General features: G+C 35.3%; 1 protein-coding gene across 3 annotated transcripts in view, besides 1 other annotated feature; it reads left to right on the forward strand.

The window, feature by feature from the left end:
* Positions 1-13,791, forward strand: part of ELP4 (elongator acetyltransferase complex subunit 4) — a 280,558-nt gene that overhangs the window by 86,824 nt on the left and 179,943 nt on the right. For 2 of the 3 annotated variants that reach the window (NM_001288726.2, NM_019040.5), the window contains exon 5: positions 7,178-7,317. In NM_001288726.2, the coding sequence (NP_001275655.1) occupies positions 7,178-7,317 (140 nt within the window). Of the gene's footprint in view, positions 1-7,174; positions 7,318-13,791 lie in introns of all 3 variants that reach the window. The other variant, NM_001288725.2, reaches the window with a different exon arrangement.
* Positions 4,685-5,981: an enhancer, noted in NCBI's record as "VISTA enhancer hs565; includes RB conserved element and PAX6_hs7". NCBI's record gives its function as "enhancer in: midbrain (mesencephalon)[8/10] | forebrain[8/10]" and the evidence as "EXISTENCE:transgenic organism evidence [ECO:0001131][PMID:17014839, PMID:17130149, PMID:19073165]".

Below are 13,791 nucleotides of genomic sequence, written 5' to 3' on the forward strand. Positions count from 1 at the left end.
GCAAATACTAAGTATCATCTGTGTACCAGATATAAAACATGTTATAATAGATGCATATTAAGCAATGACATATTGTTCTAATTTGTGTGGAAACTATTTGAATAATATTTTTAAGCTGTGATTTAAATGACTGTGAACAAACTACAAATTTAAGAGAGAATATTTACAACTCAAATTATAAAATAAGGACAAATTTTCCTTATATACAAATAACTTAAAATGAAAAAGGAAAATTCTACAACTGATTTTTTTTAATGGGCAGAAATATGAAAAGGAAATGTAAGTGACTCTTAAACATACAAAACATATGCCCAATTTCAGTTTTAATGAGAGAAATTCAAATGAAAACTACACTGTCCTGCTATTTTTCTCTTATCAAATTGACAATGATCTAACTTGGTAAGACACTGTATTAGCTAGGATGGGGGAAGCTGATACTCATACTTTGCTGGTGAAAATGTAAAAAGGTACAACTTCTGTAGAAAGTATTTTGGTAGTAACCTTCACGATTACAAAAACATATATTCTTTGATTCTTTTGGATATTTACATCATGAATATATTTACTCAAATGTAAAAGTAAATACACATGAGCTATTCATACAGCAGATTTTTTTAACAGCAAGAGATTGAAAATAGCCTAAATGTCTATCAGTAAGCAACTAGCTAAATAAATTATGGTATGTCTGAACAGTAAAATACTATACATTTGTTTTAAAAAATAGAAGGAAGCTCTGTGTAATCAGAAGTTGTTACAGATATAGCCTAGCTTGGATGTGAACGAGAACTGGGTGCAAGAGGCCAGAATAGAGGTTAGTCTGTCTAGAAAAATATGAGTTAAGTGATAGAAATCAAAACAGACTAGAAATATAGGACTAGCACTTGAGAACCCTAATGGCAAAGAACTTCACGTCTTTGATTCTGGCAGATTCATTCAAGTGACTGGCCTTAATGGTGACTGTATTCTAATTTTTCTATTGCTGTGTCCTGAAAGAGTCAGTAATGAACCTAAACTCTAAGTTTAGAGGCTGGAGTACAGTGGAGCGATCTCAGCTCACTGCAACCTCCGCCTCCCAGGTTCAAGTGATTCTCCTGCCTCAGCCTCCCGAGTAGCTGGGACTATAGTTGCCCACCACCACGCCAGGCTAGCTTTTGTATTTTTCGTAGAGATGGCGTTTCATCATGTTGGCTGGTCTCGAACTCCTGACCTCAGGTGATCTGCCTGCCTTGGCCTCCCAAAGTGCTGGGATTCCAGGTGTGAGCCACTGCACCCAGCTGATTTTGGTCTTTTCATTGGTAATTAGCATTCTCAAGTGAAATGGTTGTCAAAAATGCAAGTAACTAAAGCTTTAAGCCTTTTCTCTTTTTTTTTTTTTTTTTTTTTGAGATGGAGTCTTGCTCTGTCACCCAGGCTGGAGTACAGTGGCACGATCTCAGCTCACCGCAACCTCCGCCTCCCGGGTTCAAGCGATTCTCCTGCCTCAGCGTGCCAAGTAGCTGGGATTACAGATGCACACCACCACACCCAGATAATTTTTGTATTTTTAATAGAGATGGGGTTTCACTGTGTTGGCAAGGCTGGTCTTGAACTCCTGACCTCGTGATCCGCCGACCTCGGCCTCCGAAAGTGTTGGGATTACAGGTGTGAGCCACCGCACCTGGCCAGCCTTTTCTTTTATTGCTTATTATGAAAGCTATATAGAGTTGGGGTAAAAATTATTTGTTTCTCTAAAAATACATTGTTTTTTATAAATTCGAATCATAGATACTATCCTTGCCCCAGTGAGTAGTGCTAATTTTGTTCTTCCTTTTAGAGTCTGGTGTACCTGCCATTGGCTTTGTTACCTATTAATTAAGGTTGCATATTAACAAATAAACTTAGTACACTTTTCCTTTTTTTTTCTTTTCTTCTTCTTTTTTTTTTTTTTTTTTTTTTGAGATAGGATCTTGCTCTGTCGCCCAGGCTACAGTGCAGTGGCACAATTATGTCTCACTGCAACCTTGACCTCCCAGGTTCAGGTGACCTTCCCACCTCAGCCTCACAAATATGAGACCACAAGTGCATGCCACAGCACCCAGCTTATTGTTTAATATTTTTGTAGAGATAGGGTCTCACTATGTTGCCCAGGCTGGTCTCAAACTCCTGGCTTCAAGCAAGCAATCCTCTCACCTTGGCCTCCTGAAGTGCTGGGATTACAAGCATGAGCCACTGAACCCGGCCCTGGTGCTCAGTTTTCAAGGTTTAAAGCTTGAATGTTTTGAAAATTGTTCTCTTCTTATGATGAACTTGTCCAGATTATTTATTTTTTCATTTTCTTAGGTCTCTACTAAAAGATTACTTTACCAGAAGTGACTGCCTTTGTCGCTGTAAATGAGATAAAACCACTCTGTATCATCTTCTTTCACAGCTTTACTTTTCTTAAAGGCACTTATCATTAAATGATAATATATATCTAATTTATTATTATCATCTATCTCCTACTAGAATGTGAGCTCAATGAGAGAAAGGGACTTTGACTGTTTTGTTTTACTGACATTTAGTAGGTGCTCAGTAATTATTTGTTGGATGCATGAAGGAATGAATAGTATGTAGATTAAATATTAAACTGAGCTAAGACACATTAATCAATACAGACAAAATGATAGCTTATTTTGAATATGCAGTCAATGATCATGCTTATGTTTACTTGTATTTACAGTGAGTTGTATCCAATTTAGAAAATAGAACCACCTTCTGACTTCTTTGCTTTTCTTTGAAATGTCACTAGCATGTATATTTGCCTGTTAAGGTAATTTTATATGTAATGATTTGCCAAGACTGATAGGCTTTGATGATCACTCGTCATTATCTGCTTTATAAATCTAGGCTTTACTTTGCCTTTCTCATTTTAATACACACACACACACACACACACACACACACACACACACACAAAAAAAAAAAACCTGGCTGTATTAGTTCATTCTCACTGAGACTGGGTCATTTACAAACAAAAGAGGTTTAATTGTCTCACAGTTTCACATACCTGTGGAGGCCTCGGGAAACTTACAATCATGGCAGAAGGTGAAGGGGAAGCAAGGCACATCTTACATGGCAGCAGGAGAGAAAGCACAGGGGAAACTGCCACTTTTAAACCATCAGATCTCCTGAGAACTCCCTCACTATCAGGAGAACAGCATGGGGGAAACCACCCCCATGATCCAATCACTTCTCACCAGGATCCTTCCTCGACATGTGGGGATTACAATTTGAGTTGAGATTTGGGTGGGGACACAGAACCAAACCATATCACTGGGTTTTCTGAGATCAGATGAGATTGGGCACATTCAGGGTGGTTTGGCCGTAGACTTCACTGTGTTTTCTTTATTTTACTTGGGACAAAATGCAGTTAACATAATTGTGGCTTAAGATTAAATAAATAGTTCAAAAGTAGGTGTATTGATTATCATAGATGCCTTTTAAAATAAGTTGTCACCAGGTCCTAAGGGTGTAGCCATATTACCACTTACTAATGCAAAAGTGGACAAGAATATATATACCTAGATCAATAACAATAGTTCAGTAAAGCATAAAACAGTGCTTCATTTGAATTGAAGAGTGTATAGTTTTAAAAAAGCCCTCTTTTCTTCACCATGTGATTTTAATTCTCTCTAAGGTGGACATACCTTCTTCTCCCCTATCTTATAATCATCAACCACTATTCCTGACTCACTCCATGAATTGCTAGCCGACAGTATATTCTGAGACTTAATTTTCTCAGTATTGTAGAGCTCTAATACCATGACCTACAATGACTCCAGCAATTCATGGCAGTGTGTTAAGTCTTTATTATGTTAAATTCTCATCAAACATTGACTTTCTATCTTAGTGGTTTAGCTGCAGCAGCCCTGTGGTAGATGTGTATAGGTGTAGATGACCAACAAATACCATTTTTTCAATAAGGCAATGTAATTACAAAACACAGTGATGGATCTTCTCATTCTCTAGTGAATCATGACACAATAATAACAATGAATAACATTTACATACTACTTCACAATTTACAGAATATTCATTGCCAGTATTACATTAGAGTCTCACAACAGCCTTGTAAAATAATTATTAGCTCCAGATTCTAGTGATTAAACTGAGGATCAAAGTGTTTTAAAAACTGTTTGGATTCTTGATGTCTGGTATGCTATACTGAGAAATAAGAAATAATAACAACAGTAAGAAAAGGTCTTATTTAGATTTTCTTGGTGCAGCTTTTCTTTGAAAGTTTTGTTTCTTTGTAACATACTACAAGTAGAGTACGGTATTTTTTTTACCGTTTTCCTCCTGTACCCCCATCAAAGTTCATTTCCTTTTAACATCATAAATTTTTACTGAACCATTTCATTTTACTCACTTCCACAGACGACAAAGTCAAAAGGTAGTTTATGAACGTGAATTAGAAGTTTTCATAATGTAAAACTAAAGCAACATGTTCTTACCTAATAAGCTGACTAGTTATTGATAATAGTTTGATATTTTTAAATGTGTCAATTTTTATTGAGTTGATAACAGTTTTTTGTAGATGATAATTATTTTATTTACAGCATGTAGTTATCTTTTTTAGAGGAAATGTCTAAGTCTTTGTTTTATAATTCTAGGCCTCAAAAGATTTCAGTGTTTCAAAATCTGATTATATGTTAATGTTATATGTCTTGAGCAGAAAAATTTGGAAAATTGTTTTTTCCTGTAAGAATATATTTTTATTTTCATTGTTAATTGAAAAGATTAAAGTTTTTCATCAGCAATAAAATTTTCATGGCTACCTTATGAATATTTTAGCTACCATATCTAATTTTAATTTCTAAATAAATTAATAACAATTATAATGAGAAAAGCTTCCAATTTTATTTTTACATTTTAATGAATTATTTGTGTTCTATATGTAAACTGTCTCAGCATGAAATCAATTTTCTGCCTTGATTCATTCCAAATCTGAGATTTCTATCACATTAATATTGTAATTAGAAACATTAATAGAGACGGCAACTTAAAAAGCATACTTTGCTTCTTGGCAATTTAGCATATTTCTCTGAGTGCATAGGACTTCAAGAACTTTCAGTCCACTAATAAATTTATTAACTCAAACTTAAAAGAAGTGAAAAGTCTCTTTCTTTCTCTCTCCCCATGGCCAGTCTGCTAAAATAGATTATTCATGCTTATTTGATTCAGGTAGGCTTTTGCAAGCTTCCCTACTAGGCCTGGGAATGTGGTACATTGAGGCCTTTTCAGAGGCTTCTGACATAGACCAAGCTTTTATTGCATGGTGTTTTATTATAGCCAAATCCTAGTCTCCACCCAGTTTGTAGGCACTCTGCTTATTCTTTTGAATCAGGAAAGGTTATCACCTACCTTAATCCATGCTGCTGCATGGATTAAGGACACCAGTGTGCCCCAGGATTCTCAAAGAGGATCCTGGAAACTTCTGGTTTTTTCTTTTTTGCTGTCTTTACTAAATTCTATTGGGCCTGAGGGGGATTTGCATCTGAAATGGGCAACCTGGTGTTTTTCTCAATGAAGACATCAGATCAAAGTTCAGTTAGTCAAGGCCTTTCTAAAACATTAAGGGGGCTTGGACTTACACAATAAAAAGATGAGCTCTAGCAGAGATTGCAATAAAAACATTCTGAACTATAATCCGGATAAAGAATAGATTATAGGCCAAAGAACAGACCTTGTTTAAATTGCTTTAGACTAATAACTTTACATTTTTTAAGTTTGTACCCTATTTTTAAGAAACATTTTAATATTATATATTTTATTTATCAATAGTTTCATGATAAATGGATAAATTATGTTTTGGGAACAAGAATTCTGTACATATTGGATTGAAAAGATTAGATTGAAGCAAACTGATAGCATATCTTATTAATGAAAGTAAGTAGTACCTTATGGAGGGATGAACGGTCATTTCATTTTAAAAAATAAATGTCAAACCCACAGACTCTGAATCTGAAAAAAGTATTTCTATTAGACTTAAAAATTTTTATTTCTTATTACTGTATAATTTCCTATTGGTAGGCATTTAGTTTAAGAATATGAATCCTTGAAGTCTTAAATGCAAATATCTAGTGTCAAGCAAATATGTCTTTCTTATCTAAATTAAAAAGTTGTCACTTAGATAAGTATCTACTATGTATAGTTCTTCAATTTCTGTAGTGATTATCTAGTTTTGTTGAATATTCTGAAACTTATATGTTTCAAGACAGTGGAAATTATGTAATAGTAGATCTGAAATCTTTTATTAGAGACTATTGCCAAGTGGAATTTGTTAATAGTTCAATTTTGGATAGTGATGTATATATATTTTCAATGTATTGAATGAAAGAAATTAGCTCAAAGTCCATTCAAAGCAATGTAATAATAATGTTATGTTAGTAGACTTTTGCTATCCCATATAAATAAATTCAGTGTCATATAAATTAGAGTTTCTTATAAGAAAGATAATTTGTTAGAGAAATTGTTAGTAGAGAACACAAAAGAGGAATTATCAATGAACCAATGATTATGCCAGGTTCTGATTGATCTAATGTGGGTCATATACATTCTTCCACTTTATCATGTGCCTTGTTCCTGTCTGGAGTATTGTAGTACATTTTATCCTATAAGCTTAATTTAAATTTGCAAGAAATGTTTAATATACACGTATATTGTCTTATGTGAGAATTCAGTTTTAAAATTATACTCAGTGTAATATATTTAAATAGCTAGTTTCTTTTGGACCTCTTACCAGTGAATTAATTGGGTTTAAGTTTTCAGTTAGTTCTTGGCAACTGCATATTTAATTTGTCATTAAAACCTAGAATCTTAAATATTAATTAAGAATTATGTATATTAAGTTTTGAACTTAGGAAGGCATACAGTATAATGAAAAAAAACCAAAGAGGTTTGTAAATTCTTGTCAAATTTAGAGAACCACTAGAAGTGAAGAAACATGAAAGATAAAAAGGTTGATTTGTAACTATAAATGGTTTAAAATAATAAAGGTTGTTGTATGCTTCTTTGAAATTTACTTAGTGTATGTATATCCGTTCTTCCTTATTAGCTTAAAATTCATAAATATGCCATTGTTTTGCTGGATGTAGGACAAATAAATTATAGCTTAAAAATAATTGTTTAACAACCACTATGGGGTTTATTTTAGCAGATTGGACCAGTATCATCTTCAAGATTTGGTCACTATTATGATGCATCAAAAAGAATGCCACAAGAACTAATTGAGGCTTCAAATTGGCATGGATTTTTTCTTCCAGAGAAAATATCTTCAACTCTCAAAGTAGAACCCTGGTAAGTTAATGACCCATTTAATAACAAAATCTGATTTCAAATATTAGTAGAATGCACTTTTACCACATTTTTGAAAGAATACACATCTAAGGGTAAATATCATAATAATAAATATTAGTTTTCTATATAATTTGTAACTTCAAGTCTATGTATTTTTCATAGTATTTCATTATCTGTGGCTTTCTTTTTTCTCTGGTCCTGTAACTGCTGAAACCACTATTTCTCTAATTTGCAACTTGAAAAATCAGGACACCAAATTTATAAGTGCTGGTTTTCAAGAAAATGTAGAACAGTTCTAAATCAGAGTCTTTCAGCTTTAAATGCAAATAGACACCTAATAAATATGTATTGATAATAATAGCAATGAAAATGATACAAACTAGTGTCGTTTGCTTAATTTAATTTTTTGGCATATACTTTTTCAGAGCGTAAACAAGTATATACTTTACAATATTTTATTTATGAAGGCTTTCTATTTCTGGCTCTGCTGTAAATAAAACAATCTGCATAATTTTAAGTGACTTAGAATTTAGAGTTTGGGTTTTAAGTATCAAAACAATGCAACATGTTTATACTGCCAGTACATTATTAAGACAAAACTCTGAAAATTACAGGACTTGACACTGAATAATGTATGTTATAAAGTATTAAGAATATTTAATTTCAATTTTTATTTCAGTAAGTTATGGAACAGATTGTCATTTATATTTTCTTAAGCATTTGTAAAACCATTTTCAAAATGAGATGAGCTATTAAATGAAGATTTAATAGGCAAGGCGTTGTGAACCAAAATGACTTAAAATTTATAGTCTCTGTTCTAAAAATAATACCTGAGAATTTAGTGGAGACTACTGTACTCATGCTTATTAAATGTTTCCAAAAATGTTCACTTTATTATGGAGTTCTCCAATCTATGGATAGAGACTTAGCAAAAGCGGTGCTTTGATGTTGTTTTAGCATTTATAACTACCATTAATGTATTACTGCTATGTGTCAGCCACTCTGTTAGGCACTTTACATTTGTTATCTTCTATAATCCTTATATTAACCCTATACAGGGTTATGTAGTACTAATATGCAGAAGTATGAAGTCCCATTTTCTAGAAGATACTGAAATTCACAGAATTGATTTATCTGAGTTTTAATTATTAAGTGATAGAACCAGGCTTAATCTGTCAGATTTATCTTTCTTTTTTGCTTCACTGCTTCAGAAGATTTTGGTGTCTTTCACCTTTACTTTCCTGTGTCATGGAGTAATGAGCACTGATAAAAGAATTTTTAAAATCTGGATTCTTATATTGAGTTCATCCTACCCTTAACCTTGGGCAAATCACCTAAAATCAGTGAAAATCAATATCTTCATGTGAAAAATTGGAGGTAGGGAGAAGAGGAAATACCACCTGCCTTACTAGCTCACTAAATTTTTGTTAAGTTTGAGTGATTATATTGATTTTTATGTTTCCCAGTTTTTGCCACAGATAGAGTCAAACATGCATTTACATAGAAGCTTGCGAAATAGGTCAGGGTAATTTTCCCATAATTTTTCAAATAATAGTAAAGAGTGGAACCCAGGTTCAAAGTAAATTCTCCCTGATTCAAGTATCTGTATTAGCAATAATGCCATACTGTCTCCATTAACAGAGTGCTTAGGAAAATAAATGTAAAATGTATATTATGTTTGATGTATTTAAATGAAAAATAATATGGTGTTACTTTTGTGATTTAAAAAAATGTATTTTAAGGACAATACTTTTTTTTACACCAGCAAGTACAGTGTTATTCTTCATTTACTCAACAGCTGAGGTAAGGAGGGGATTAGCATGTGTCAAATATATTTTCCAAGTCAGGTACTCTCCCAGACGTTTGAATATGGGATAACTCATTAAATTTTGCCAACAACCCTCCAAGAGAATGTTAACCCCATTTTGTAAGCAATTTCAGGTTAGAGTTGCTAAGTAACTCTCCTACTGTTGCAGGCTGTCAGTGACTGAGCTAACACCCAAACTCAAGTTTCTAAAACCTCTGCTCTTTTTTTTTTTGTACCGTGCTACCTCCATTTACTGAGGCAGTAAATGTACACCCACCAACGTAGGTGCCAGAAAAATTACTCCTTAATCAGCCTTGAGGATATAATCCTATAGTCTTTAAAATACATATTTTCTGAGTGTTTTGTAAGAACTAGCAGTTTCGCACAGAATAGGAAAATTTATAGATTTTAATTATCAAGGCAGTATTTCATTTCATAGAGTTAACTGATAATTCATTTATTTCATATTAAACTTAAATGCTTAATTAAATGTAATTAAACTTTAAACATGTAATTAAATTAATTTTCAAAATGGGTACTTTACCATGTGAGATTTATTTTAATTTATGAAAAGCATGTGCTCATTTCACTAAAATGAACTTTACTGGTTCATTTATAAAACAATAAAGCTAAGCCTTACAGTTATCTATACTTTTCCTATAATTAAGGCTAGAGGTTATAGCTGTGTCCTACTATCATATGTGAGGATATAATATATAATTTTATAATTTCTGAAGGTGCTCTTAAAACATGTAAAGATATTTTTACAATAAGAAAAACTGCAGATCATTTAAAATTTACAGTAACTAATTTAAAATGATTAGTAGGTTTGCCTGTAGAAAAAATTCATACATACAGTTTAAATTTTCAAATTAAAGCCAGAGTATAAAGATCTCAGATGTTTTATAATAATATTATCAAGATAGTTTTGTTTGGATATTTCACTATTACAAATCAGATAATCTGAGTCACAAAATAATAAGCTGGTTTTGAGAATAATTCTGGAGTCTAAGATTGTTTACTTTGACTTTGTTTTCAGTTAAGCTTTGCTAACAAGTATGTCCAAGCATAGTTTGGTTTCCTTACTAGAAAGACACTGCCATTTTTCAGTGTCGTCTTTCTTACTGATTAACAATTATATTAACATATTGCTTAACCTACCACTACCAACTGAATGTTTGTGTCCCCCAGAATTCATATGTTGAAGCCCTAACCCCTAATGGGATGATGTTTGGAGATGGGGCCTTTGGGAAGTAATTAGGTTTAGATTAGGTTGTGAGGGTGGGACCCTGGTGTGATAAGATTCGTATCTTTATAAAAGAGGGAGAGACACAGGAGCTCTCACTCTCTCCGGGAGCATGCAAGAATGAAAGGCCATGTGAGCACACAGCAAGAAGGCTGCTATCTGCAACCTAAGGGAAGAGCCCTCACCAGGCACCAACTCTGCTGGCATGTTGATCTTGGACTTCAAGTCTCCAGAACAATGAGAAAATAAATTCCTGTTTAAGCCCCCCAATCTATGGTATTTTGTTATGGCATCCTATCTTTGTCCATTTGTGATGCTATAACAAAATACCTGAGACTCGGTAATTTATAAAGAGAGAAATTAAATATTGAACTTTCTATCCTCCAGATCTATGAGAAAATAAAAGTGTTGGCAGGTGTGGTTGTCTGGTGAGGCCAGCACTCTGCTTCCAAGATGGCACCTTTTTCCTGCATTCTCCAAAGGAGAGAAATGATGTGTTCTCACATGGCAGAATGTGAAAGGGCAAGCTAGCCAAAATGCTGTGTGAAGCCTTCTATATAAGGGCCTTAATCCCGTTTTTGAGAGAGGAGCCCTGATGACATAATCACCTCTTAAAGGCCTCGTCTCTTAATACTATCACATTGACAACACCTGAATTTTGTAGGGTACACTTTCAAACTATTGCACAGACTGATCTGACGATGTTAGTTCTTGAATATTGAGTTTGCATACAGTTGGTAGTCAATAGAATGAGTTTATTTTGATATGTTTCTCTGAATTTCAAGATTTTATTTTAACATGTTTATCATAACAATAACCAGTAGTTTCTTATATTGTCTGAGTTTTCTACTGATTAAATTGAATGAGTTGAATTCTGTGAGAACCGCTCGGTCTTTTAGTTTTTTGACTGCATTCTGAACCAGGCCTGACTAATTAAAATAGAAGCAGCATTCCTCATCTAGGAAGATGTGGAGACCTCCTTTTTTTTGCAGTAAGTCAATCAAGGCCTTTGTGGTTTTGTAGGGTAACTGCTGCTAGGGAGTCTAGTTGGTTTTGGAGGTGGGTAATAGAGTTTGCAATTTTTTTTTTTTTTTAGGGAAGCCTACAAATCTGTAGAGAGTGCCTGGAAATATGATAATGAGATGGAGAACGGAGGGCCCCTTGGGAGGAAGTGACAGAGCATATATGACAGTTTGAGGTTATGTTAGAGGGTATAATGGAATGGTAAAGAAAGCATCCTTTAGGTCGATTACCGTATAGTGGGTGGTGTTGGAGGGGATGAGGGAGAGAAGTGTATGGGGGTTAGGGACCATGGGGTGAATAGGGAGGACAGCCTGATTGATGGCTCAGAGGTCCTGAATGAGTTGATATGAGCAGTCAGATTTTCTAACGGGGAAGATGGAAGTGTTATATGGAGAATGTGTTGGTCTAAGAAGACGGCGTGAGCAGAGCTTGTTTATGATGGGTTGTAAGCCTTTTTGGTGTGTTAGGGAAATGGGGTATTGGGGAATGTTGGGAAATTTAGAGGGGTCTTTTAACTGTATTTTGATGGGGTCCTGGTGAGCAGCTATGGAAGGGGTGGTGGTGTTTCACACTACTGGGTTAACGAGAGAGGTGGGTAGCGGGTGCTGGGTGGGGGGGTCAGGGGCCGTACTAGCAGAGAGGAGCAGGAGGGACTCTGGTTGCGGTGGGCAGGAAGAGGTGATAGAAGCTTTGAATTTGGCTAAAATGTTTCGGCCTACGATGGGAGTGGGGCAGTGAAGCATGATAAGGAAGGAGTGTGAAGAAATATAGTATTAGACAGGGAACAAGTAAGGGATTCAGTAGCGTGTCGATGTGAGACGAGACCTGGGAAGGGTAAGTGGGTGCTAAAAATTTAGATAAAGCCGAGTAGCTGGCCCTGCTATCGATTAGAAAAGAGATCGGCTTACCTGCTATTAGCAGAGTTACCCTGGGCTCTGATGCAGATAGGGCCAAGGGTCCTGGGCTCTGTCAGTCTTCAGCAGCAGGGCCAAGGAGCTGTGGTAGGGTGAGCGATTTTTCACTCCTTACCTTGCCAAGGTTTTGAGGAGTTGATCTGTTAGCCTGGTTGTTAAGAGGACAATCAGACTTCCAGTGACTGCTTCATTGGCAGGCTGGACAAGGAGTTTTTGGTGTCCTTGGGCTGGGACATGCCCTCGCCCAGTGGCCTTCTTGGCTGCATTTAAAACAGGCCACAGAAGGGAGGCTGCTATCGGGTCTTTTGTGCCCTTGGGTGCTATTGCCAGGTTGGCGAATAGCCGCGGCTAGTAGCTGACATTTGGCACGATCTCGTTGGGCTTTATTTTTTCTTGTTCATCCCTATTATTAAAGACTTTGAAAGCCAGGTTGAGAAGGTCTTGTGGGGTTTGAGGGCCATCTTCAGGCTTTTTAAGTTTGCACCATATGTTAGGAGCAGACTGAGAGATAAAATGGGTATTAAGAACAATAGTTTTTTCCCGGGAGGTGGGGTCAACATGGGTATATTTTTGGAGGGCCTCTGTAAGGCGGGAAAGAAATTCAGCAGGGTTTTCATCAGCTCTTTGAGGGATATCTTTGAGTTTTTCATAATTTGCAGCCTTATGGGTTGCTTTGTTAAGGCCTGCGATGAGACAAGTAGTCATATGGTTATGAGATGCCCGGCCGGGGTCTGTGGGTTGGTACTCCCAAGGGGGCTCCTTGGGAGATAACATTTTATTTCAAAAATACAAGACTTTTAGATTGAAAAGCAAAGATCCACAGTATATTCAAAAGTCTAAATATAAGATTAAAGATTACAAGCATGAGTCATGCCTCTAATCCCAGCACTTTGGGAGGTCGCGGCAGGAGGATCAATCACTTGAGCCCAGGATTTCAAGACCAGCCTGGGCAACATAGTGAGACCCTGTCTCTACAAAAACAAACAAACAAAAAATACTAATAGCCAGGTGTGGTGGCACATGCTGTAATCCCAGTTACTCAGGAGACTAAGGTGGGAGAATCACCTGAGACTGAGAGGCCAAGACTTGAGTGAGCTGTAATCATGCCACTGCACTCCAGCCTGGGCAAAAGAGCAAGACCGTTGTCTTAAAAAAACAGAAAATTTACACTCACAAGAAAGAAATTCTATAGAACATCTAAGACTAAAAATTCGGAAGTCATATAGTTATAGAAGTATACTATAAATTACTTTATTAAAAGGATATGGTGAATGATAAATTAGTGCAAATCTCAGAACTGATGGAAAGGCATCATGTAAGTGTGAAGAGAGATTCTGCCTATCTGTTTAGCTGCTAGTGATACAATTAAAGTAAAAAGATAATGTTTGAAAATTTAGAAAGAGGACTATTATTCTGGGCCTCATTTTTTGTTTGTTTTGTTTTGTTTTGTTTTTTAACTTACTTTATTTTCAACTTTTATTTTA

Source organism: Homo sapiens, chromosome 11 (assembly GCF_000001405.40).
Source record: "Homo sapiens chromosome 11, GRCh38.p14 Primary Assembly".
In the NCBI taxonomy this organism is placed as follows: Eukaryota; Metazoa; Chordata; class Mammalia; order Primates; family Hominidae; genus Homo; species Homo sapiens.